This window comes from Homo sapiens, chromosome 1 (assembly GCF_000001405.40).
Source record: "Homo sapiens chromosome 1, GRCh38.p14 Primary Assembly".
NCBI lineage: Eukaryota > Metazoa > Chordata > Mammalia > Primates > Hominidae > Homo > Homo sapiens.
The window spans coordinates 113,960,339-113,986,629 of NC_000001.11; the positions used below are offsets into that span (position 1 = coordinate 113,960,339).

The 26,291-nt window shown below is 42.9% G+C and overlaps 2 protein-coding genes across 21 annotated transcripts in view, besides 4 other annotated features; both read left to right on the plus strand.

Moving 5' to 3' along the window:
- HIPK1 (homeodomain interacting protein kinase 1) overlaps positions 1–17,531 on the plus strand; it is a 48,546-nt gene extending 31,015 nt beyond the window's left edge. For 9 of the 17 annotated variants that reach the window (NM_198268.3, XM_006710443.5, XM_011540977.4 and 6 more), the window contains 8 exons: positions 1,979–2,100; positions 3,049–3,183; positions 5,792–5,934; positions 7,428–7,610; positions 8,104–8,310; positions 9,618–9,859; positions 11,486–11,616; positions 12,686–17,531. In NM_198268.3, the coding sequence (NP_938009.1) occupies positions 1,979–2,100; positions 3,049–3,183; positions 5,792–5,934; positions 7,428–7,610; positions 8,104–8,310; positions 9,618–9,859; positions 11,486–11,616; positions 12,686–13,174 (1,652 nt within the window). In that variant the 3' untranslated portion in view covers positions 13,175–17,531. Of the gene's footprint in view, positions 1–1,978; positions 2,101–3,048; positions 3,184–5,791; positions 5,935–7,427; positions 7,611–8,103; positions 8,311–9,617; positions 9,860–11,485; positions 11,721–12,685 lie in introns of those variants that run through there. The other 8 variants (XM_005270610.6, XM_047449128.1, XM_047449129.1 and 5 more) reach the window with 4 other exon arrangements.
- Positions 16,497–17,074: an enhancer, noted in NCBI's record as "OCT4-NANOG-H3K27ac hESC enhancer chr1:114519457-114520034 (GRCh37/hg19 assembly coordinates)". NCBI's record gives its function as "activates a minimal SCP1, AML or CMV promoter by ChIP-STARR-seq in primed H9 embryonic stem cells {active_cell/tissue: H9 hESC(primed)}" and the evidence as "EXISTENCE:reporter gene assay evidence [ECO:0000049][PMID:30033119]".
- Positions 18,380–19,213: an enhancer, noted in NCBI's record as "NANOG-H3K27ac hESC enhancer chr1:114521340-114522173 (GRCh37/hg19 assembly coordinates)". NCBI's record gives its function as "activates a minimal SCP1, AML or CMV promoter by ChIP-STARR-seq in naive H9 embryonic stem cells {active_cell/tissue: H9 hESC(naive)}" and the evidence as "EXISTENCE:reporter gene assay evidence [ECO:0000049][PMID:30033119]".
- OLFML3 (olfactomedin like 3) lies at positions 19,136–21,915 on the plus strand. Of its 4 annotated transcripts, NM_001286352.3 has the most exons (4): positions 19,136–19,292; positions 19,637–19,788; positions 19,994–20,279; positions 20,611–21,915. In NM_001286352.3, exons 2-4 carry the CDS (start codon positions 19,735–19,737, stop codon positions 21,429–21,431), a joined length of 1,161 nt encoding a protein of 386 aa, NP_001273281.1. In that variant the 5' UTR covers positions 19,136–19,292; positions 19,637–19,734; the 3' UTR covers positions 21,432–21,915. The 4 variants fall into 4 exon arrangements, with proteins under 4 accessions (NP_001273281.1, NP_001273282.1, NP_064575.1 ...); NM_001286353.3 differs by lacking the exon at positions 19,637–19,788 and having other exon boundaries at positions 19,865–20,279; NM_020190.5 differs by lacking the exon at positions 19,637–19,788.
- Positions 20,881–21,713: an enhancer, noted in NCBI's record as "H3K4me1 hESC enhancer chr1:114523841-114524673 (GRCh37/hg19 assembly coordinates)". NCBI's record gives its function as "activates a minimal SCP1, AML or CMV promoter by ChIP-STARR-seq in naive H9 embryonic stem cells {active_cell/tissue: H9 hESC(naive)}" and the evidence as "EXISTENCE:reporter gene assay evidence [ECO:0000049][PMID:30033119]".
- Positions 22,969–23,932: an enhancer, noted in NCBI's record as "H3K27ac-H3K4me1 hESC enhancer chr1:114525929-114526892 (GRCh37/hg19 assembly coordinates)". NCBI's record gives its function as "activates a minimal SCP1, AML or CMV promoter by ChIP-STARR-seq in primed H9 embryonic stem cells {active_cell/tissue: H9 hESC(primed)}" and the evidence as "EXISTENCE:reporter gene assay evidence [ECO:0000049][PMID:30033119]".

Sequence of the window (26,291 nt, forward strand, 5' to 3'; positions counted from 1 at the left end):
TTTTTTTCCACTTTTGGGCTCAGCCTAAAGTACAATAGCAATCTAATACATTAGAGTCACATTTGTAGGTCAGTACTATAAATACTACTTTCCATACTGTCCTGGTTGGCCAAAATAGATAACACATTTTGCTTAGTGGTAACTATTATTCTGTAATTTTGTCACCTTTCGCTTTATCACCCTGGGGGCTATAGATGAGCTTCTGAAGTGAACATTTCCTCCTAAATTTTACCAATTTGTAGGAGGCTATTATTATACAATACCAATGTCTTGTAGTTAGGCATGTATCCATGTCCTACTATAGGCAAAAATTTTGTGTGGCTTAGCCTTCTTATTGGATAACATTGCCTACGGAAGCATGGCTGGCAACTTTTTAATCTTGATATATGAATTTGTTACTTTTTATTTTTATATAAAAAAAGATATTGTTAGTGTTTTAATTCTGATTTTACTATGCCCTCTTATTTTGTACGTTGCTGGATTGTATTTTTCTTCATGACAACTTGTTATTAAATTACTCATAAATTACTGAAGTGGAAAATTAGAAGACTGACTTGCTGAAAACAGCAGTGTTAGGTCTATGAGTTATGCTCATTTGATACCTCCATAGTAATATTAAGAGAAATTAGTTGGTGATAGTTGAGAAAATGTCACCTAAGTAGTCTTTAATTAAAATCTTTATATCCTCACTTAACAAAATTGCAGACATTAGTGAATTGGAAATATAATAGCAACTTAAATTCTTTATGTTGCAAGTTTCGATAAAGTACAGAAGCAACTGAAGGCTCTCAAGTCTTGACAAAAAGAATTGTCTTTAGTTGTGCTTTTCCCCAGGAGGTCTATTTGTAGGAAAGATTTATTCAACATTTGTTCTAAGAGCATAATGAATAAAAAGATAAAGAAGACATGGTTATTGTTATAAAGGCACTGTTACAAAGAAGAATTCTTGATTTTCCTAGCTGTCCATTAACTACAAAAGAGCCCTATTAGATGTCAATGACAAGAGTAGATTTCTAAAATAAGTTGAAGCAAGTTTCTATAAACCAGAATGTCTGCTTTTAAAATATTCTTATCCTAGGCATAATTTTTTTCAGTTCATGCCTGGTTAAGGATAAAATATATGACTGATTTATGGACTAGGTTATATTTTTTGAGGAATGGGGAAAAGCATTCTAAATAAGAAGGTAACTTAGATTATAAATTATTGAGCTTTTCGTAATCTTTCTTATCTAATTCACTAAAAGTTATACTTAAGCCTTTGCTTTTAAAGATTAGAATTTTAAAAACAAGTTTTTTTTCCACCTAGTGGATTAAAAAGTGAATAATGCTGGGCACAGTGGCTCACACCTGTAATCCCGGCACTTTGGGAGGCCAAGATGGGCAGATCATGAGGTCAGGAGTTCGAGACCAGCCTGGCCAACATGGTGAAACCCCGTCTCTACTGAAAATATAAAAATTAGACGGGCGTGGTGGCGCACTCCTGTAGTCGCAGCTACTTGGGAGGCTGTGGCAGAAGAATCGCTTGAACTTGGGAGCAGAGTTTGCAGTGAGCCCAGATAGCATCACTGCACTCCAGCCTGGGTGACAGAGCGAGACTCCATCTCAAAAAAAAAAAAAAAAAAAAAAAAAAATGAAAGTGAATTTAATTTACTAAGTGAAGATTTTTTTGTTTTTGCCTGTACTCTTAATGGAGATGGGATGAATATTGTGTTTTAAATTTTGTAGCATAAAAAAAATTTAGAATTCTTTTAAACCATCCCTCACTATATCAAACATCTTTCCATTAACCTAACCTGAGGGGAAGTCTCCCTTTTCTTAACTTCCAAGACTTCTATGAATGAAACTTCTTTGTCTTAAGTGTCTAGGATTAAAACCTGAACAGTGGATTATTTGAACAGAGAAGCTGAAAACAAAATAATCTTAAAACAGTACTCCCAGACCTTGCAAAACTATTTAACTGTGATGCTGTTTTCAATAGCTGGACTACAAGCAACAACAAAGCATTCTGGATTCCCTGTGAGGATGGATAATGCTGTACCGATTGTACCCCAGGCACCAGCTGCTCAGCCACTACAGATTCAGTCAGGAGTTCTCACGCAGGTAAAAGCTAGAGCAATGTGGATACTCAGTATTGCTAAACACTATTGAGATTCAGATATTTTGTCCTAGAAAATGGTATTTCCTTTGACTATAAGATCTTTCTTGGTCATGATTCAGTGGACTTAAAATGAAACATCTCTATGGAACAATATACTAATTCCTAACACTATTGCAACTCTGCCATTGTCTTCCTTAGACTTGCAGGGAAAAAATATCCAGACATTCTTGAGAAATGGTCTTCTGAGTAAGTTTACTCTAATTTTGCGGGGTGAAGCGTTTTTTTTTGTTGTTGTTTGTTTTTTAAATGTTGGAGCTCATATAAAGATAAGTATATATGTAGCATTTTGATTCTAAAATATAAGCTTCCACTTTTGCACCCTTTGTGTCCCTTTTGCTCACTCTTTTAGAATTTCATCACAGTTGAGAGGCTGGATCACATCAGGATGCCTCTTCACATATTACATTCCTTCATTCCGTGTGTTTAACCAGATTGTAGAAAGCTTTAAAACTTTATACTTGCTATGGAACATTCGACTAAGATGATAGAGAAAATTGTAAAGTATTTAAATAGCAACAAACAGTATATTTTATATTTTATATATAAATGTTTGTGGCCTATGACACATAGGAAATTCTCAAATCCAAAAACTCTATTTTGTGAACAGGAGGAAGAATTCTTAATAAATGTCTCTGTTTCATAGAACTGATCCCCTGAATCTAGCCCAAGGAGGATTCCTATACTTCTTTGTTTTAGGCCATTGGCATTTGACTTTGTGGGCCAATGCCATACAAAGTTGAAGGGGGAAAGTTGTGTTTGGTATATGCATTTTAGATGCTATCAAATTACTGTTCATTGTCAGTAATAACTTGGGGGGAATGAGAACCCTTCTGAATCCAGATATCCTGCCTCCGTGTTTGTTTCACTCACCTGCCTAATCTACGTTTCAGGGAAGCTGTACACCACTAATGGTAGCAACTCTCCACCCTCAAGTAGCCACCATCACACCGCAGTATGCGGTGCCCTTTACTCTGAGCTGCGCAGCCGGCCGGCCGGCGCTGGTTGAACAGACTGCCGCTGTACTGGTAATTCCCCTCACTTGATTGTGTTACTAACGGAGTTTCTTTGGTTTCTTTCTTTTTTGTTTTTTCCTGTTTGTTTTTGTTCTGTTTTTTTCTGGTTTATTTTTCAAAAAAATTTTTTAGCTTAGTCTTTGCAGAGGGCATGGAAGCATGTGCCATCTTGTGGCTGTGTTCTTGCTACATCTTTTAATGTCTCATTGTTTTCCTCCCCAACATTTGCTGTAGCACTGTCTGACTGATGGTTATGTGGCTCTGTAAGGAGCCAGATCCCTTGATTCTTCTTTGCCAGCCTAGTGTGATAAAAGCTCTCGATGTAGCCTCAGAAGAGCTTCAACACTGTTACTTGTTTTCTGCCTTTTACCCTCTGATCCTTGAGAATGAAGGAAATGGCCTTTAATTTGGCTCAGCTACAGGTACCCGGATGGCCAAAATTGAGCTCGTTGGCAAGATAGCTTTCTCCTTTTTTTGCTGTTTTAAGGTTCTAAAACTTTTCTGCATGTGGAAATGCTTAAGATGCTCTTAATTTATTGCTTTCTCAGTTGATACTAACCATCCTTCTATGGACACATGAAGATAGCTCTTTTTGCCACTCATGATCAGTGGCAGCTTATATCTTACATTTAAAGATATTCCCTTTAGAATGTAGATCATATTGTAGGTCATATTGTTGGTTGAAATTAAAAGTGGACACATTTTTAGGAGTTTTGGGAGGAATTAATTATTTTACAAATAGGTCTTTATACAAAGGTTGAAAGTATGGCCAACAAACTATGCAAATACAATATCTTTGTTATTAAAAGTCATGGGGAATAGTTACTTAATGTAGCTGCAATTGTAGTACTGGGCTTAGAGATAGAAAAAACAACCAAGACTTTGAGGTGTGTTTCAGGATTTGTAACCTTAAGAGTGATTTTTTGGATGTGTTTTGGTTTATATGGGGAGTTAGAATTGTTTATTGGATATCCAGCATTTTCTCATTTGAAATTTAAAATTAGGTAAGCATCCAAAAACCTGAAAGGCACTATTGAATCCTGTTATTTCTCTGTTTTCAAAGTTGCTTTAAATTTCTTTTGTTGTTTCTTAAGTATTCATGTGAGTGAAAACACTTCCAGAAACATACTTTGGTTGGAATTTGGTTTTCATTTTAAAAGTCTTTGTCACTTCCAGATTAATTTTCTTGTAAGCAGAAAACCTGAGTGTGAGGGAGTCAGATATATTTCCAACTTGATTGATCCAAGCCAATGGTTTTAACTCACTCATCTGTAGTTTCGAGGTTGGAATGTTAGTTGACACTTCTCCTTTGCTGCTTCTCTTAAGTTTGCACTAGCCATTTGCTAAGCTTTGCATATTTTTGTTCTTCCTCTGTCAAAACAGTTCGTCGCTTGGAACGCCAGATTTCTGCCTCACATTGGAATGTTATTTCTTGCTTTGTATTAAACTACATGCTTTGTCTTGTGCAGGTGTTGGCTTATGGAAAGACGCATGGTGTGACTTAACATACTTCTTTTATTTTTTGTTTTGTTTTATTTTGTTTTAAATTCTGCTTATGGTAGCAGACGTGTTTGCAGTTTCTCTGCTTTGAAGGCTTCTTGTTTGGAACCAGTATTTGTAACAAGTAGATCTGTTACTTGCAGAAATATTTTTAAAACAGTGTGTTGATGGCCTTGCAATTTGAAATTCAAGAAACAGAACCATATGTACCCAAGCATTGTAGGTAATTGTACTGCAGAATTCAAGTTTAAAAAGGAAACTTCCAAATCCGTTCCCATTTTTTTTTTCAAAAAATGCCAGAATTTCTGTGAGGAAGAAGTACAGAAAACATTTGTTGCTCAGTTTATTGCAAGTGACATGGCTTTTTTAAAACTAGAAATCATGTATTTTCTTGTAGTGATTAGTTTTTATGTGGAAATATTCCTGCAAATGATACATAAAAACATATTTTAGGTAACTATTAGAAACAAAGTATGATGCTTTCTGCTTCTAAAACATCTTACTTTTTGCCTTATTTTGAAATTCCATTATGTGGCTATAAATGATGAAGTTAGCTTTTTCTTGCTGGCATAAGATTTTTTCCCCAAAAGGATTAGGCCTTTGGTCATCCACATCTGGCTCCATTTTCCAAATACTACCCTTTTAAAAAAGGGAACAGTTCTGCCTTTTGTTTTATGGGTTGAATTGATCTGATACCTTATCTGATTGGCAGTCAGATTAAAAAATTTTAATCTCCAGGGAGTCCTCTTAACTCTTTCTAGGGATTTATTTTAGAATTGTTGCAAAAATGAAACTCCAGCATTTAACCAGCTCTTATCTCTGAACTCTCAGACTCCTTTTCTCTACAGTATAATAGAAGCTCTTAACCGCAGGGATCTTCTTTTCTTTAATACCCGGGTGGTCAGGTTATGGGGGTGAGCAAGAGAAAGCAGTATGTTTTCTTTCCCCATTCATAAGACTTGTAGCTTGAGCCCCTCTGACCTTTCTTTTTTAATCTCTGCAAGTTAACAATCTACAAGCAACTTCTTTTAAGATATGAATTTTTCTTTCTTTAAAAAAACAGAAGAAAAAGCCAAGAATGAATCAAGTCTGGATGTTTTTTATGTGTGTTTCCTTACAGCAGGCGTGGCCTGGAGGGACTCAGCAAATTCTCCTGCCTTCAACTTGGCAACAGTTGCCTGGGGTAGCTCTACACAACTCTGTCCAGCCCACAGCAATGATTCCAGAGGCCATGGGGAGTGGACAGCAGCTAGCTGACTGGAGGCAAGTGTCCTGTGTTACTCTGGGAGATTTGTAAGGGCCGATCCCATAGGGTGGGAGCACTTGGTAATAAGGAGAGAGACTAGTAAGAAAATAAAGGAAAATTTGACACTGTTGGAATCCTTTAAGAACCCATATCAGGCTAGGAGATGGTGTTATAAGAAAACTTTGAATATAGGAAAGCAGTAGGTTCTGAAGGTCAGGAATCATTTCTTCTAGATTTTTTAAAGAGAGTCTTAAGTGATTAGAAACCATACAGTGAGATCCTAAAGCCTTGTAATCTAGGTCCCCAACTTTATCTTTTATAATGAAAATTCTTTTTTTCTAATGTTTAATTTTTGTGATTACATACTAGGTATATATATTTATGGGGTACATGAGATGTTTTGACACAGGCATGTAATGTGAAATAAGCACATCATGGAAAAGGGGGTGTCCATCCCCTCAAGCATTTATCCTTTGAGTTACAAATAATCCAATTACACTCTTTAAGTCATTTAAAAATGTACAATTAAGTTATTACTGACTATAATCACCTATTGCGCTATCAAATAGTAGTTCTTATTCTTTTTTTTTTTTTTTTGTACCCATTAACCATCCCTACCTCCCCACTAGCCCTCCACTACTCTTACCAGCCTCTGGTAACCATCCTACTCTCTATGTCCATGAATTAAATTGTTTTGATTTTTAGATCCCATAAATAAGTGAGAACATGTGGTTTGTCTTTCTGTGTCTGGCTTATTTCACTTAACATGATGATCTTGAGTTCCATCCATGTTGTTGCAAATGACAACGTGTACTTTTTGTGGCTGAGTAGTACTCCATTGTGTATATGTACCATATTTTCTTTATCCATTCATCTGTTGATGGACACTTAGGCTGCTTCCAAATCTTACTGTGAACAGTGCTGCAACATAGGAGTGCAGGTATCTCTTTGATATACTGATTTCCTTTCTTTTGGGTATATACCCAGCAGTGGGATTGCTGGATCATATGGTAGCTCAATTTTTAGTTTTTACAGGAACCTCCAAACTGTTCTCCATAATAGTTGTACTAACTTACATTCCTACCAACAGTGTACAATTGTTCCCTTTTTTCCATATCCTTGGCAGTGTTTATTATTGCTTGTCTTTTGGATATAAGCCATTTTAACTGGGGTGAGATAATATCTCATTGCAGTTTTGATCTGCATTTCTCTAATGATCAGAGATGTTGAGCACCTTTTCATATGCCTGTTTGTCATTTGTAAGTCATCTTTTGGAAAATGTCTATTCAATTCTTTTGCCCATTTTTTGATCGTATTATTAGATTTTTTTCCATAGAGTTGTTTGAGCTGCTTACGTATTCTGGTTATTAATCCCTTATCAGATGGTAGGTGCTCAACTTTAAAAAAATAAAATGCAGCTGCATTTTGGCTAATTGCTTTTGATGTCTGTTTGGTCCTGATTCTTCAGTGGTTTTGGAATTCACTCTTCTCTTTCTTTCTGTTGGTACAGGAATGCCCACTCTCATGGCAACCAGTACAGCACTATCATGCAGCAGCCATCCTTGCTGACTAACCATGTGACATTGGCCACTGCTCAGCCTCTGAATGTTGGTGTTGCCCATGTTGTCAGACAACAACAATCCAGTTCCCTCCCTTCGAAGAAGAATAAGCAGTCAGCTCCAGTCTCTTCCAAGTGAGTCTGTGTTACAGCTGATAGTTAAAACTGTGCCAGTTTGAGAGATATGTTGCCTTGCATTTGGAATATTGTATAGACATATAATATAGATATGAAGCAGCAAGTAGCTGCCAAATTGAGGAAGAGCAAATCATTTCATCTGGGCATGTACACCAGGTGTGTCCTGGTTTTATGATGGTCCTTTGTCTCTGCTGCCACTTTGAATCTAGGGCATTTTATGATGTTTTTATTTTACTTTACAGAGTGAAATTTAATCCTGGGATAAAGGGCTTATAAAAGTAAAATGTCTTTTGTATTTTGGTGTTCTTGTCCCTGGAAACTCTTGCCAGCATGGTGCTTATTTTCACTGGAACTTATATAGTTAAATGTATTTGCTTAATGATTATGTAAAAAGGAATCAATGAGTAAATTGGAAAGCAGTCTGGGGAAAAGATACACAATTTGGAAGGCCAAGGACTGAATCATCTTTCCATGTGAACTTTTCCTACAGGTCCTCTCTAGATGTTCTGCCTTCCCAAGTCTATTCTCTGGTTGGGAGCAGTCCCCTCCGCACCACATCTTCTTATAATTCCTTGGTCCCTGTCCAAGATCAGCATCAGCCCATCATCATTCCAGATACTCCCAGCCCTCCTGTGAGTGTCATCACTATCCGAAGTGACACTGATGAGGAAGAGGACAACAAATACAAGCCCAGTAGGTAAGATAAGTGAATGGTTCCTGGCTCTATTGGTTTTAGACTGTTGGCCTCAGGCAAGTGGGCCCAGTTTGGCCTGTGAAAGAAAGGACCGGTGGGGCATGGTGGCTCACGCCTGTAATCCCAGCACTTTGGGAGGTTGAGGCCAGCAGATCACCTGAGGTGAGGAGTTCAAGACCAGCCTGGCCAACATGGCACAACCCTGTCTCTACTAAAAATACAAAAATTAGCAGGGCGTGGTGGCACATGTTTGTATCCCAGCTACTCGGGAGGCTGAGGCAGGAGAATCACTTGAACCCAGGAGGCGGAGGTTACAGTGAGCTGAGATCGTGCCACTGTACTCCAGCCTGAGTGACAGAGCAAGACTGCATCCCCTCCCGCCCCCACCCAAAAAAAAGGGCCGAAGAAAAAGGTGTTTTGGAAGCATAGCCTTCGATGGGGCTTTTGGTGTTGGGCATACGGAAGAGGGAATGACCTCTTGCTTTTACCTGAGAAGGTAGGATTCACACATGAAAGTAACTTAGGAGACTTTACAGAGTCATGCAGAAATGAAGTTTAAGTGAACTTGGAAGAGAAAATTTAGAATGAATTTAGAGCCTGTTAGTTCAAAAGGACCAATTGTAAGATGGTAGAGGCAACATACAGGAGGTGTTAGAGGTGTGGACTCTGAAGTCATTCTGTCCTGGGTCTGAATCCTGTCTTCACCACTCATCACTTCTTGTGTGACCCTGGGCAAGTTCCTCATCTCCCTATTCCTTAGTTTCCTCATCTGCAAAATGGGGTTTATAGTACCTACTTCATAGGATTGTTGTAAGGATTCAGTGAGATGTATGTGGAGCATGAGAGTAGTGCCTGATACATAAGTACCCAGAAGTTTACTGCTGCTAATATTACTATTATTATTACCATCTTTATCATCATTGTTATCATGGGAGAACCAGAGACAGATCATCTAAGAAACATTGCTTAAAAGGGTGGTTGAAGCTCGGCATGGTGGCTCATGCCTGCAATCCTAGCACTTTGGGAGGCCAAAGCAGGAAGATCACTTGAGCCCAGGAATTTGAGACCAGCCTGCGAAACATAGTGACATCTCATCACTACAAAAGATAAAAACAGTTGGGCATGGTGGTACACACCTGTAGTCCCAGCTACTCGGGAGGCTAAGATGGGAGGATAGCTTGAGCCCAGGAGGTTGAGGTCGCAGCGAGCTGTGATCACTCCACTGCACTCCAGCCTGGGTGACAGAACAAGACGCTGTCACACACACAAAAAAGAACAATTCAATTTTCATGTATTTTTCTTTTCCTCAGCTCTGGACTGAAGCCAAGGTCTAATGTCATCAGTTATGTCACTGTCAATGATTCTCCAGACTCTGACTCTTCTTTGAGCAGCCCTTATTCCACTGATACCCTGAGTGCTCTCCGAGGCAATAGTGGATCCGTTTTGGAGGGGCCTGGCAGAGTTGTGGCAGATGGCACTGGCACCCGCACTATCATTGTGCCTCCACTGAAAACTCAGCTTGGTGACTGCACTGTAGCAACCCAGGCCTCAGGTCAGTGTTATCTTCACAGCTTGAGTTGAATTCTCCTTTGATGTGTGAATGCTTAAATATTTTGCCATAATCCACTTATATCAGTGGTAGAGACCAGTGGTGTAGACATTCTTAAAGAGACCTTAATTCAGAAATCAGTTCCCTGCACAATGTGAAATTATTTTTGGCCATCACTTTATCTTCCTGTGTTTATTTTGCTTGGATTAATATACAAATGAGATTGTAGTCTCAGAAACACATTCAGTGCTGATGGGAGAAAGCAGACAAGACGTGTGATATTGCAAGAAGAATTAGCAGGCAATTAGGTTTGCCACAGATGATTTGAATTTGGCAATTGAGATGTAGACAGGACTTGATAATATTGAAAATGACTGCAAAAGTGTTTTGGAAAACAGTTATATTCTTTAGATTTTTTTCTCACCCAGTGTCATAGCAGTGATGCTTTTGATGGTTTTATTACCAACCCAATTACTTCCATCATCTTTGCCCTGTTAGATACTGGACTTAAGCTCCCTGGTTTAGTTATTGTGTTAGTTGGGTAATAGCAGTTGCAGTAACAAATCCTAGATTTTTGTAGCATAACATAGTAGAATTTTACTTCTCTCTCATATAATTTCTTGGTACAAGTGTTTGATTCCTGAGCATCCAGTCAGAAGGAGAAAGAAAGTGTGAAGGAGGCACACACATGTCTTAACCTCTTTAGGCTGGAAATAAGTGGAAATAGTGAATGCTTCTCACATGGCCCCACCTAGATGCAAGTGAGCCCAGGCAATGTAGTCTTGTTAAGGCAGCTGCTTTTCAGTGACAACTTCATACCAAGGAAGGGGTTGGTGAAGTTTAGGTGTCAACATAAACCTGGGCCATACTTGTATAAATTATGTTTTATTATGTATTATCTTACTGCCATAGACATAAACAGGGTTGTAATTTGAGGGTATTGTGTTATGCCTCTGTGTGATTCTTTTCAGAAGTAGACAGTTGTCCCATTGCAGACAAGAGAGAGAGCTTCCTGATGCCAGGCTACTGAATAGAATTATTAGTACCTCCGTGTGCTCTTGGGTCCAGAGAATATAGGCTATCACATGAGACACTGAATAAATGCTCTGGTTTTCCTAATGGGAACACAGAAGCAAGCAAAATTTCACATTCAGCTGTCCTGTAATTTCTAAGAATTTGAAGACAGTAAGTGTCCAACAAGATAGAATTTTGCCTTCTTTTAAACCCTCTTGCCACTTTAATATCCTAAGAATTACCAATAGCTTTCTCAGCTTCACATTATCATTTCTGTGCTTGTTTAATCCCTTCCTACATAAAACTATAAACTCTTGGAGAGAGGGATGGTGTCTTAGCATATTTGTATTTCCAGTCGTTCCTTGTATATAACAAGAGATTATAGTTAAAATATTTATAATATTTATTTAAGTGAACATTTTGAGGATCCTATGTGGAGATTTGTGCCAAGACAGAAAAGAAATGGGTGATAACAGGTTATTTTCTTCTGATGTAAATAGAATTGAGACCTTAATGCTTGCAAACTACATACAGATGTGGACTAATTAATATGATGCCATCTGAGGTTAGCTCAGTGATGTCTACTCATAACTATTAAGCCTGGTGCTTTTTTAGGTCTCCTGAGCAATAAGACTAAGCCAGTCGCTTCAGTGAGTGGGCAGTCATCTGGATGCTGTATCACCCCCACAGGGTATCGAGCTCAACGCGGGGGGACCAGTGCAGCACAACCACTCAATCTTAGCCAGGTAAGTGCTATGGGCTACTGCCTTCTGTTTGGGCCCTGCACTGTTGTTACTTTCTGGAGAACCCTGCTTCTGGCTGGATGCTGAATAAAGCCAAATGAAGCCCCTTTTGTGTCAAACAATTTTGTGTTCTATGGCTTACGTCGTACCGCATATGCTGTGTCTCTTCATTCACTCTGTAAGTGTGTTCAGGATGTACATTCTAGGTTTTCCATCAGACCTCCCTAAGTCTACCCTGGAAGGTTAGAGAAACGTCTGGGATTTAGAAAGAGCCTGGGGTGCTTTAACCATGTCTGTGATAGGCATATGCTTTGAGACCAGATTCTCTTTATCCCCCAGGCCATAAGTAAGCTGATCCTTACATTGTTTACTTGAGTCAAGAGATTGTGAAAAGCTCATTGGCCACCAAATTCAACTGGTTCTAGGTCCTACTTGTTGCTGGAGTCTGCGATTTGGGACTTCCCCACTCTCCGAACACCCCCAGCCCCAACCTACCCTTCTGCTTCTCTCATTACTTTATTCTATTTGTGTTCACTCTTAGAAGCTAAAATTCGAGTGCTTGTATGATGTCCACCAGTAGTGAGAAAGTGTCAGTATGAGGGTATGTGAGAGAGAGCACATGCAAGTGAAAATGTAAGTTTGAGTTAGTGCATGTATTTTAGTTTCCACATTTCAAGAGGGGTATGAAGAACTTAGAGGACGAAAACAAAAGAAAGCAATGGTAAGAAATAAAGGCTAGGAAAAATTCAAATTTACTGACGCCAGAATAGGGTGAGTTGAGTCACCAGTTATTAACTTGCAGGAGTGGGGAACCCTATGATCTCTTGATTCTCCCTCTTCCTGTCATACTTACAAGCAAAATGCTGTTACCTGAGCCAGATTAGGATCTATCTTGCTAAGAGGCAGAAGGAGGGGTGGCTGATTTCTGACAGCATTCAATGCCAGTGTGGGAGATTATGTGCTATACCCATTCGAAAACAGTACAAGTCAGAACCTGAGCTCTTAACTTGGCCTTTGGTGCCCTGAGCTGGAGTGACCTCAGGATTCCTCACTTCTTCCTTCTTTCTTCCAGAACCAGCAGTCATCGGCGGCTCCAACCTCACAGGAGAGAAGCAGCAACCCAGCCCCCCGCAGGCAGCAGGCGTTTGTGGCCCCTCTCTCCCAAGCCCCCTACACCTTCCAGCATGGCAGCCCGCTACACTCGACAGGGCACCCACACCTTGCCCCGGCCCCTGCTCACCTGCCAAGCCAGGCTCATCTGTATACGTATGCTGCCCCGACTTCTGCTGCTGCACTGGGCTCAACCAGCTCCATTGCTCATCTTTTCTCCCCACAGGGTTCCTCAAGGCATGCTGCAGCCTATACCACTCACCCTAGCACTTTGGTGCACCAGGTCCCTGTCAGTGTTGGGCCCAGCCTCCTCACTTCTGCCAGCGTGGCCCCTGCTCAGTACCAACACCAGTTTGCCACCCAATCCTACATTGGGTCTTCCCGAGGCTCAACAATTTACACTGGATACCCGCTGAGTCCTACCAAGATCAGCCAGTATTCCTACTTATAGTTGGTGAGCATGAGGGAGGAGGAATCATGGCTACCTTCTCCTGGCCCTGCGTTCTTAATATTGGGCTATGGAGAGATCCTCCTTTACCCTCTTGAAATTTCTTAGCCAGCAACTTGTTCTGCAGGGGCCCACTGAAGCAGAAGGTTTTTCTCTGGGGGAACCTGTCTCAGTGTTGACTGCATTGTTGTAGTCTTCCCAAAGTTTGCCCTATTTTTAAATTCATTATTTTTGTGACAGTAATTTTGGTACTTGGAAGAGTTCAGATGCCCATCTTCTGCAGTTACCAAGGAAGAGAGATTGTTCTGAAGTTACCCTCTGAAAAATATTTTGTCTCTCTGACTTGATTTCTATAAATGCTTTTAAAAACAAGTGAAGCCCCTCTTTATTTCATTTTGTGTTATTGTGATTGCTGGTCAGGAAAAATGCTGATAGAAGGAGTTGAAATCTGATGACAAAAAAAGAAAAATTACTTTTTGTTTGTTTATAAACTCAGACTTGCCTATTTTATTTTAAAAGCGGCTTACACAATCTCCCTTTTGTTTATTGGACATTTAAACTTACAGAGTTTCAGTTTTGTTTTAATGTCATATTATACTTAATGGGCAATTGTTATTTTTGCAAAACTGGTTACGTATTACTCTGTGTTACTATTGAGATTCTCTCAATTGCTCCTGTGTTTGTTATAAAGTAGTGTTTAAAAGGCAGCTCACCATTTGCTGGTAACTTAATGTGAGAGAATCCATATCTGCGTGAAAACACCAAGTATTCTTTTTAAATGAAGCACCATGAATTCTTTTTTAAATTATTTTTTAAAAGTCTTTCTCTCTCTGATTCAGCTTAAATTTTTTTATCGAAAAAGCCATTAAGGTGGTTATTATTACATGGTGGTGGTGGTTTTATTATATGCAAAATCTCTGTCTATTATGAGATACTGGCATTGATGAGCTTTGCCTAAAGATTAGTATGAATTTTCAGTAATACACCTCTGTTTTGCTCATCTCTCCCTTCTGTTTTATGTGATTTGTTTGGGGAGAAAGCTAAAAAAACCTGAAACCAGATAAGAACATTTCTTGTGTATAGCTTTTATACTTCAAAGTAGCTTCCTTTGTATGCCAGCAGCAAATTGAATGCTCTCTTATTAAGACTTATATAATAAGTGCATGTAGGAATTGCAAAAAATATTTTAAAAATTTATTACTGAATTTAAAAATATTTTAGAAGTTTTGTAATGGTGGTGTTTTAATATTTTACATAATTAAATATGTACATATTGATTAGAAAAATATAACAAGCAATTTTTCCTGCTAACCCAAAATGTTATTTGTAATCAAATGTGTAGTGATTACACTTGAATTGTGTACTTAGTGTGTATGTGATCCTCCAGTGTTATCCCGGAGATGGATTGATGTCTCCATTGTATTTAAACCAAAATGAACTGATACTTGTTGGAATGTATGTGAACTAATTGCAATTATATTAGAGCATATTACTGTAGTGCTGAATGAGCAGGGGCATTGCCTGCAAGGAGAGGAGACCCTTGGAATTGTTTTGCACAGGTGTGTCTGGTGAGGAGTTTTTCAGTGTGTGTCTCTTCCTTCCCTTTCTTCCTCCTTCCCTTATTGTAGTGCCTTATATGATAATGTAGTGGTTAATAGAGTTTACAGTGAGCTTGCCTTAGGATGGACCAGCAAGCCCCCGTGGACCCTAAGTTGTTCACCGGGATTTATCAGAACAGGATTAGTAGCTGTATTGTGTAATGCATTGTTCTCAGTTTCCCTGCCAACATTGAAAAATAAAAACAGCAGCTTTTCTCCTTTACCACCACCTCTACCCCTTTCCATTTTGGATTCTCGGCTGAGTTCTCACAGAAGCATTTTCCCCATGTGGCTCTCTCACTGTGCGTTGCTACCTTGCTTCTGTGAGAATTCAGGAAGCAGGTGAGAGGAGTCAAGCCAATATTAAATATGCATTCTTTTAAAGTATGTGCAATCACTTTTAGAATGAATTTTTTTTTCCTTTTCCCATGTGGCAGTCCTTCCTGCACATAGTTGACATTCCTAGTAAAATATTTGCTTGTTGAAAAAAACATGTTAACAGATGTGTTTATACCAAAGAGCCTGTTGTATTGCTTACCATGTCCCCATACTATGAGGAGAAGTTTTGTGGTGCCGCTGGTGACAAGGAACTCACAGAAAGGTTTCTTAGCTGGTGAAGAATATAGAGAAGGAACCAAAGCCTGTTGAGTCATTGAGGCTTTTGAGGTTTCTTTTTTAACAGCTTGTATAGTCTTGGGGCCCTTCAAGCTGTGAAATTGTCCTTGTACTCTCAGCTCCTGCATGGATCTGGGTCAAGTAGAAGGTACTGGGGATGGGGACATTCCTGCCCATAAAGGATTTGGGGAAAGAAGATTAATCCTAAAATACAGGTGTGTTCCATCTGAATTGAAAATGATATATTTGAGATATAATTTTAGGACTGGTTCTGTGTAGATAGAGATGGTGTCAAGGAGGTGCAGGATGGAGATGGGAGATTTCATGGAGCCTGGTCAGCCAGCTCTGTACCAGGTTGAACACCGAGGAGCTGTCAAAGTATTTGGAGTTTCTTCATTGTAAGGAGTAAGGGCTTCCAAGATGGGGCAGGTAGTCCGTACAGCCTACCAGGAACATGTTGTGTTTTCTTTATTTTTTAAAATCATTATATTGAGTTGTGTTTTCAGCACTATATTGGTCAAGATAGCCAAGCAGTTTGTATAATTTCTGTCACTAGTGTCATACAGTTTTCTGGTCAACATGTGTGATCTTTGTGTCTCCTTTTTGCCAAGCACATTCTGATTTTCTTGTTGGAACACAGGTCTAGTTTCTAAAGGACAAATTTTTTGTTCCTTGTCTTTTTTCTGTAAGGGACAAGATTTGTTGTTTTTGTAAGAAATGAGATGCAGGAAAGAAAACCAAATCCCATTCCTGCACCCCAGTCCAATAAGCAGATACCACTTAAGATAGGAGTCTAAACTCCACAGAAAAGGATAATACCAAGAGCTTGTATTGTTACCTTAGTCACTTGCCTAGCAGTGTGTGGCTTTAAAAACTAGAGATTTTTCAGTCTTAGTCTGCAAACTGGCATTTCCGATTTTCCAGCATAAAAATCCACCTGTGTCTGCTGAATGTGTATGTATGTGCTCACTGTGGCTTTAGATTCTGTCCCTGGGGTTAGCCCTGTTGGCCCTGACAGGAAGGGAGGAAGCCTGGTGAATTTAGTGAGCAGCTGGCCTGGGTCACAGTGACCTGACCTCAAACCAGCTTAAGGCTTTAAGTCCTCTCTCAGAACTTGGCATTTCCAACTTCTTCCTTTCCGGGTGAGAGAAGAAGCGGAGAAGGGTTCAGTGTAGCCACTCTGGGCTCATAGGGACACTTGGTCACTCCAGAGTTTTTAATAGCTCCCAGGAGGTGATATTATTTTCAGTGCTCAGCTGAAATACCAACCCCAGGAATAAGAACTCCATTTCAAACAGTTCTGGCCATTCTGAGCCTGCTTTTGTGATTGCTCATCCATTGTCCTCCACTAGAGGGGCTAAGCTTGACTGCCCTTAGCCAGGCAAGCACAGTAATGTGTGTTTTGTTCAGCATTATTATGCAAAAATTCACTAGTTGAGATGGTTTGTTTTAGGATAGGAAATGAAATTGCCTCTCAGTGACAGGAGTGGCCCGAGCCTGCTTCCTATTTTGATTTTTTTTTTTTTTAACTGATAGATGGTGCAGCATGTCTACATGGTTGTTTGTTGCTAAACTTTATATAATGTGTGGTTTCAATTCAGCTTGAAAAATAATCTCACTACATGTAGCAGTACATTATATGTACATTATATGTAATGTTAGTATTTCTGCTTTGAATCCTTGATATTGCAATGGAATTCCTACTTTATTAAATGTATTTGATATGCTAGTTATTGTGTGCGATTTAAACTTTTTTTGCTTTCTCCCTTTTTTTGGTTGTGCGCTTTCTTTTACAACAAGCCTCTAGAAACAGATAGTTTCTGAGAATTACTGAGCTATGTTTGTAATGCAGATGTACTTAGGGAGTATGTAAAATAATCATTTTAACAAAAGAAATAGATATTTAAAATTTAATACTAACTATGGGAAAAGGGTCCATTGTGTAAAACATAGTTTATCTTTGGATTCAATGTTTGTCTTTGGTTTTACAAAGTAGCTTGTATTTTCAGTATTTTCTACATAATATGGTAAAATGTAGAGCAATTGCAATGCATCAATAAAATGGGTAAATTTTCTGACTTATGTGGCTGTTTTTGACTTCTGTTATAGGATATAAAGGGGATCAATAAATGACATCTTTGAAAGTGGCTAAGCATATTGTATTTGAACATCAGTAGAGTACTAGAGACAATTTCATTCTTCACACAAATCTCCATACTGGAAATGAATAGGGTTTGGCAGGGAATACTTCCCAAGAATGCAGTGTCCAGGGTCCTTACTTCACATCATCTGGATCTGACCCTTTGAAAGAGGTAGAAGACTTCTGAGACCGGCTAATTAAGCTTTGTTTCCTCATATGTTTTGCCAGATAGCAGTAGCAGAATGAAAAGATGAGTAACCACAGGAAGCTGCTATTTTTCCCCTCCTTTCAAACTGTACTGTTAGAGTCATGGTCCTTTTTACAGAAGGAACCTCTCATCAGATTCTGTTGATTCTAAAGTGAATAGAATTTCTCCCGATAAAGAAATAGGGGTTTGTTTCGATTAATGACTGCAGGTCTCTGAGTAAATGCTCTATTTGATTTTTTTTTTCGGCCCGTGTGTCTACCTTATGGCCCAAGTCTACCTTATGGTGGCCATTAATTCATTTTGGGCTCCTGCAGCCTTAGTTGGGATATAGAAATGAGAAACACTCAGAAATACCCTTTTGGACCACAACCAAGAGAAATAACCAATAGTCTTTTCTCCCAGTGGTAAGGAAGTCAGAATACATTGATCTAGACTGCAACAACATATATATATATATCAGATTCCGCCCCCCCGCAATACATGAATGTATAGTAAATTAGTGTGAACTCACTGAACACTCCTCAGTTTTGGTGAGAGACTATATCTGGCCTCTTTCAAGCAAAGGAAAGCCATGTAAAACAGCGCTGCTGTCAGCCTTAACTTCCAGACGATCGAGTTAATTTACTAACTTCTCAGTGACCTGTTTTTTTTTTTTTTTTAATCTCAGTTATATTTTCTTCCTTGGGCTAAATCAGATATTTGCATAGCCCCCAAAGTAGTAATTGGATAGTCTTGGGGGAAATATGCATTTCAGTGGTGAAAACCCCTGTAAATTCAATATATTTGGCTTTTGTGGAAAATTTTCCTCATGGGGTGAAGTCTAAGCCTTAGTTTCTGTATTATCATGAGAGATGACACCAGCTGCTTAGCACAAGGTGGCGCCAATGAGCTTTAGAATAAGTTGGGCTTGACCACTTGGGCCATTGTTTTCCTGCTTCCTCCCTTCAAGCCTCACCTCCCCAGCTCCCAGCTTCTACTGAACAAGGCTGAAAACCCACTCTATTGCAGGGAAAGGGAAAGATTAATGAAAAATGTCAGTTTCTTAAGTCAGCACTGGTGAAACTTTCCTAAAACAGGAATGGCGTTTGCTGAGTTTTCTCTGGGGTCTCTGCTTTCTGCAGCTAGCTTCCCTGCTTGACTGCCTAGAAGGCCTCTGCTTTCGGGTTTCCATCTCTTTCCCCTCCAGAGGACCCTACAGCCTAGGCGGGAGGTGGTTAAGGCTTCTGGCTGCTGTGCAATGGGGCCATCTGTGTTTGATCAATCCTGGCGGAAAGGAGGGGGTGGGGGTTGTAAAGAGAACTGAAAGCATTCCAGAGTAGTGAGAGAGACCCAGAGATCAGGAGAGAAGGCACCGCCCCCACCCCGCCTCCAAAGCTAACCCTCGGGCTTGAGGGGAAGAGGCTGACTGTACGTTCCTTCTACTCTGGCACCACTCTCCAGGCTGCCATGGGGCCCAGCACCCCTCTCCTCATCTTGTTCCTTTTGTCATGGTCGGGACCCCTCCAAGGACAGCAGCACCACCTTGTGGAGTACATGGAACGCCGACTAGCTGCTTTAGAGGTGAGGGACCCCTTTCTCTTCTAGCCCCGCCTAGAAGGATTCCAGGGCTATTGGTTCAACCAGTTTGTTAGGGATCTGGGGATAACAAGAAAGGGCTCTGTTAGAGTCTACAGAAAATTCTCTCTTAATAAGAGGACCTTCGGAATGACAAGCCCTCCTCTTACCCCACATAGAACAATTCCAAAGCAAATCGACTTTTGCGTTTTACCTCTGGGATTAGATAGAATAAGGGGGCAGAGTGGAAACGAGAGCCAAAATTGTGGGGCTGCATCTCCAGAGAAGGTGATGATTCTGTTGAAGTTGGAGGTTCCCGGGGAATCTATAACTTCCTGTCTTTTTAACAGGTTGAGATCCGTAGCATTTTAGTGTCCGAGAGGATAATTGCTAAGGGAGCAGAGACCTCTTCACACCTTCATGCGCTTAGACCTGCCTAGAGGCTCAGATGGCTCAGTGGCACTGCTCACAGAGAACACAGGCTGGAGGACATGGAGTCGGGGTAGGGGCCTAGGTGAATCTCAGCTAGGCTCTTTGCACATTTAGCACCTCTGCACATCTGGTTTCCTTTTCTGCAGGAGTGGAAGGGGATATTGAAGCCTGGCTGAGTTTGCTCTTTTTTTCCCATTCCTGACTCCCGAGTTGGGCCTCTCCCTGCCTGGGAGTTGTAACCCTGCAGCCTCCCTCCTGATCCCCCATCCCTTCAGGAACGGCTGGCCCAGTGCCAGGACCAGAGTAGTCGGCATGCTGCTGAGCTGCGGGACTTCAAGAACAAGATGCTGCCACTGCTGGAGGTGGCAGAGAAGGAGCGGGAGGCACTCAGAACTGAGGCCGACACCATCTCCGGGAGAGTGGATCGTCTGGAGCGGGAGGTAGACTATCTGGAGACCCAGAACCCAGCTCTGCCCTGTGTAGAGTTTGATGAGAAGGTGACTGGAGGCCCTGGGACCAAAGGCAAGGGAAGAAGGAATGAGAAGTACGATATGGTGACAGGTAAATAATCTGAAAGCAGGCCCCTAACTCTTCTCAGAACCGATATTCTTCCTTCCTTGCTTCTTACTCTTTTTTTCGCTTTGTCCCAGTCCATTGTGGCTCTGTCTTCTGGAATCTGTTTTAGGGAAACCTCTGTAATGCCAGGTCTATTAAGGAGAGGTTCTGGGGATCCAGGCCGCTGTGGTACCCGCTCTTTCTCAATTCTCCCTAAGATTGGAGGCAACCACTGGGCAAATGCTCACTATTCTCCAGATCACCCACCCTGGGGGAGTTCCTGCTGGAGGCATCTAATTCTTGCCTCTATTTCCTTTTCCTGTGCTTTTCTCATCAGACTGTGGCTACACAATCTCTCAAGTGAGATCAATGAAGATTCTGAAGCGATTTGGTGGCCCAGCTGGTCTATGGACCAAGGATCCACTGGGGCAAACAGAGAAGATCTACGTGTTAGATGGGACACAGAATGACACAGCCTTTGTCTTCCCAAGGCTGCGTGACTTCACCCTTGCCATGGCTGCCCGGAAAGCTTCCCGAGTCCGGGTGCCCTTCCCCTGGGTAGGCACAGGGCAGCTGGTATATGGTGGCTTTCTTTATTTTGCTCGGAGGCCTCCTGGAAGACCTGGTGGAGGTGGTGAGATGGAGAACACTTTGCAGCTAATCAAATTCCACCTGGCAAACCGAACAGTGGTGGACAGCTCAGTATTCCCAGCAGAGGGGCTGATCCCCCCCTACGGCTTGACAGCAGACACCTACATCGACCTGGCAGCTGATGAGGAAGGTCTTTGGGCTGTCTATGCCACCCGGGAGGATGACAGGCACTTGTGTCTGGCCAAGTTAGATCCACAGACACTGGACACAGAGCAGCAGTGGGACACACCATGTCCCAGAGAGAATGCTGAGGCTGCCTTTGTCATCTGTGGGACCCTCTATGTCGTCTATAACACCCGTCCTGCCAGTCGGGCCCGCATCCAGTGCTCCTTTGATGCCAGCGGCACCCTGACCCCTGAACGGGCAGCACTCCCTTATTTTCCCCGCAGATATGGTGCCCATGCCAGCCTCCGCTATAACCCCCGAGAACGCCAGCTCTATGCCTGGGATGATGGCTACCAGATTGTCTATAAGCTGGAGATGAGGAAGAAAGAGGAGGAGGTTTGAGGAGCTAGCCTTGTTTTTTGCATCTTTCTCACTCCCATACATTTATATTATATCCCCACTAAATTTCTTGTTCCTCATTCTTCAAATGTGGGCCAGTTGTGGCTCAAATCCTCTATATTTTTAGCCAATGGCAATCAAATTCTTTCAGCTCCTTTGTTTCATACGGAACTCCAGATCCTGAGTAATCCTTTTAGAGCCCGAAGAGTCAAAACCCTCAATGTTCCCTCCTGCTCTCCTGCCCCATGTCAACAAATTTCAGGCTAAGGATGCCCCAGACCCAGGGCTCTAACCTTGTATGCGGGCAGGCCCAGGGAGCAGGCAGCAGTGTTCTTCCCCTCAGAGTGACTTGGGGAGGGAGAAATAGGAGGAGACGTCCAGCTCTGTCCTCTCTTCCTCACTCCTCCCTTCAGTGTCCTGAGGAACAGGACTTTCTCCACATTGTTTTGTATTGCAACATTTTGCATTAAAAGGAAAATCCACTGCTCCTCTCCTGTGTTTGTTTGGGGTAGCCCTCAGATCAAACTTCCCCCTGACCATCCAGTTTCTCCCTCCCAACCCATCCCCACTCCTTGAGCCATATTAAAGACTTGGGCGGGGCTCCCTTTGCTGAGGAAGAGTTTACTGTGAGGCGCCTGGGGGAGGTGGCAGAATCCCGCCACTTTAGGAGGCTGGACGAAAGGCCTCCTTCCACACCCACCGCCATCCACAGCAGCCAATCCACAGCAGCCATCCTAGAACCTCAGTGGCACCGTGCCTCTGGCTGTGAGACACTGGGGCCCAGGGCAGAGATTCCAGTTCCGATTCTCAGAGGATTTTGAACTACAAAATGCATGTTAGTTGCATTGCATTCTAGTGTGGAAACCAGAGCCCTGAATGCCTGTGTTTTTAGTAAGAACTGAAGTCTCCCCTCTAAAGTGGACTCTGCCCCGCACCCCAGACCTCCACTCCCACCTCCAGCGTTGTGCTCCTGCAGGGCCAGGTTGCACAATCATTCTTGGTCTGGACCGCTCTGATTTTCCTGCTGCCACGGCGTCTGCGGTTTGTGCAGGGAGGAGGGGCAGTGACCGTGTCCCAGATGTTGGCCTTACACGGTCTGCAGCCTATTCTTGCTTTCCTTTTCTCCACTCTCATCACCCTCACCTACCCACTCCAGCCCTGAACCTGGCTGAAGCCCGTCAGGACTTCTGGAAACTTAACCCTCTCTGGCCCATACCCTGGCCTCTGGCGTTGGATTGCAGAGCGTAATGTGGGGAAGAGGGAAGGGAGAAGGGAGAGGAGGAGGAAGGCTCCAGGCTTTGGACTCCAGTCTCCAGGAATCTGCTGATTTCTGCACCAGGCCCCCACCCCAGCCTCACCCTCACTGCTGCATGCTCAGCTCGCAGGGGCAAGGCTGGCTGATGGGCAGGATCCACTGCTTTCATGAGGAGTCCACCTCAGGCATGCCTGGGGGTCCTCTTGGTTATTTGCTCTAGCCAAGTGCGGGAAGGGGGCACAGCCTTCTCCCCAAAGCACAGCCCTCCTTCCCGCCCCAGGTGGGGTGGCTCAGTCAGGGCCCTGTGAGCCTCCCTTTATCTTCTTTTCTTTTCTCCTCAGGCAGAGCTGCTCCAGACGTAGGTTGATGAGGATGGGGAAAGAAAGACAGTGAAGCACCTCAGAAAGGCGCTATTATAGGGAGACCGGGGCGGGCAGGGGCTCTCTCCCATTGAATTCTCTCCTAATGTGGGGCTGGCAACAGTAATCACCACCTGTCAGCCCACGGAAGGGTCTGCCCACAGAACAGCTGGCTGCGGCACACGTGGTGCACAGGGAGGGGTTGAGGGGGAAGGGCATTCTGAGCACAGGCCTGGAGAATGGGGTCTGGGCCACACGGCTGGCAGAGCAGTGTGGGGACTGTGGGTGCCCCATGTGGAAGGGGAGCTTGTCTGCTCCCTAGCGTGACTGTGTGTGTGTGTGTGTGTGTGTGTGTTGGGGGTGGGAGGTGCCTGTGTGTGGCAGAGGTGCTTGTCTGCTCCCTAGTGTGACTGCGTATGTGTACGTGTATGTGTATATGTGCCTGCATGTGGCAGGGGAGCTTGTCTGCTAGCTTGTGTGGCTGTATGAGTGTGTGATAGGAGGCTGTAGGGTCAGGCCGTGTCTCTGGAGTTACCTTGTTAGAGCACCAAACACCAGGAGCGGCTCTGATGCCCTTGATGAGAGCATAACCTGAGACTCCGTGTGTATAAGTGACGTCAAGGAATATGTATTTGAAGTACATTCTTAACGCCTTATTACTTCCATGAAAATCAGGTAACCAGGTTCTTCCGCGTTGCATGTGTGTGCTTGTCTTTGTGGCATCTATCTTTGCCTGATTCCTCCTCCATGAGAAAGAAAAAAAGCATATCTTTTTTTGGCTTACAATTTCTGTGGAAAAGTTCATTCAGGCTTTTCTGAAAGGGCAGAAATCTCTGGGGCCTTGTCGTTTATTACTTTTCTCTTCCTTCTTTTTGGCTCCTGTGCAACAGCTAGTGCTATTTTGGAAGCATTATGGAAGGTGAGTAGAACTGTGTGGGCAGATCCAGTGAACTGTCCAAATTCATTAAACTAAATTATCTGCTGCTCCAGGAGACAGCACCGGTAGCTAAATCCTATCATCCACAAGTAGCCTCAGACCCCCATCAGACCCTCCACAACCCATCACTTGGCAGAAATAGGTTATGACCTCTGATTTTGTTGAACAAAAGACAGTGGAAGGCAAAGGGCCTAGTAGAGGAGAGAGGGGTTAAAAGCCCAAAGAGAAGTCCCACATATGCCCCAGTGCCTAGCCATTGGGTGGTACAGTAAACACCCAAGGATGGGGATGTGGGAAGGGCACCAAGAACCAGGAGGGGCTGCTGTGGTGGAGGCAGCTGTCTGCTAGGTCTTAGGTCCAGATGTTGCTTCTCCATCACAAGGCAGTATTGAGAGGGCTCCCCCAAGGCAGTATTGAGAGGGCTCCCCTCTCCGCCACACTGGGCCTCAGGGTTTCCTGCTTTACTTCCTAAGCTCCCCTCCTTGTTCTCAATATCCTCTCTTCTCCAATGCTGGTCTTAGTATCTGCCTGCCAGCGAATCCAAAGTGTTTGTCTTGTTCATTTTAATCAAGGAAGCTGAGCCGGTGTTGTGAGCGCCCTGGATGGTGGAGAGGGACAGGGCAGAGATGGACAGGAAGAAGTTGTTGATTCAGCTGTCAATGTTTCCTCTGGGATGGGCTCTGAGCTAAACAGAAACCAAGCCCTCCTTTTCCTCCTCCTCCAGTCTCAGATTTTCTGGGCCTCTTCTCATCTCTCCTTGAACAGGCACCCCTTCCCCAAGGCTCCTGGGGGCATCCCCTTCCACTGCTCCCCACTCCTCTACCTGGTTTAGAGGAAAGCATGCCCATTTTGAGAGCTGCTGAGACTGTCCTGGTATTTCTCAGGGCCTTCAGGATAGGTCTCTTCAGGGCCTGCCACCCAGCCTCTCTGTGTCTGCCTTTGCAGTTTAGTGTGGTCTGTGGTCCAGGAGAACTTTTCTATTTCTCCGGCTGGAAAGTAGGGTCTGTCCTGTGGCCTTAGCTCCTGTTAGCAGCTGTGGCCTCTGCAGGCCCTGTGGACCCCTCAGCCTGGCTGGTGAGCTTTCCTTTGCCTGGTCTTTAACTTCTGCTTTTACAATGCAGAGCTTAAAAGAGTAAAGCTTTATTTCTGGATTTAATAACTCCACAGAATTATAAATGTGGAAGCCTATGTATTACTTTAAAGGGCAGAGTGAGAAGTGAAAATGCAAAACTCTCAGCACCATCTCCCCAGAACTTGGGTTCTGACCATACCTCTCCAGGACTGCCAAGACCAACTCGGTTGGAGAGACCCTAACCCAGCAGCGCTAGAGGAATTAAAGACACACACACAGAAATATAGAGGTGTGGAGTGGGAAACCAGGGGTCTCACAGCCTTCAGAGCTGAGAGCCTCAAACAGAGATTTACCCACATATTTATTAACAGCAAGCCAGTGATTAGCATTGCTTCTATAGATTATAGATTAACTAAAAGTATTCCTTATGGGCAACAAAAGGATAGGCAGAAATAAAAGGATGGGTTGGGCTAGTTATCTGCAGCAGGAGCATGTCCTTAATGCACAGATCACTCATGCTATTGTTTGCGGTTTAAGAAGGACTTTAAGCGGTTTTCCGCCCTGGGTGGGCCAGGTGTTCCTTGCCCTCATTTTGGTAAACCCACAACCTTCCAGCATGGGCGTCATGGCCATCACGAACATGTCACAGTGCTGCAGAGATTTTGTTTATGGCCAGTTTTGGGGCCAGTTTATGGCCAGATTTTGGGGGCCTGTTCCCAACACAGGACAGTCCTGCATGACCTCTGGGGGTCTATCCAGCTTACATTCCCCCTTCTCTGAGATGAGACAACTTTACTCCCTGGCCATAGCAGTATGCCCAGAAGGGAACACATCAGACTCCCTCCTGGGGAGTTAGAATTGCAGGTCAGAGATATTAGATCTTAGGAAGTGTTTGGAGGCATCTTTGCCCTGCTACCCAGAGGCAATGAAAGCCCACTGGAGGGGAAAGGACGAGGTGGACCCCAGGGAGAAGCCAGGGCAGAAGGGAGGAAGCAGCTGACCTGGGCCTGTGTTCCTGCCCAGTCCCCAGCCATCAATCCTGAGGTCACGGCACACTTCTGGCTCTTGGGTTCTGCAAGGTGCCTATAAGTTAATATGAGTGGATTTCTGTTTCCCAAAACCCAAAGGCGGCTCCTCATCTTTACCTTCCCACCAAAAAAATCCCCTGTCTGCTGGACTGCTAGGCAAATGGCCTTGGCCCCATAGTCAGGGGTGTTCAATCTTTTGGCTTCCCTGGGTC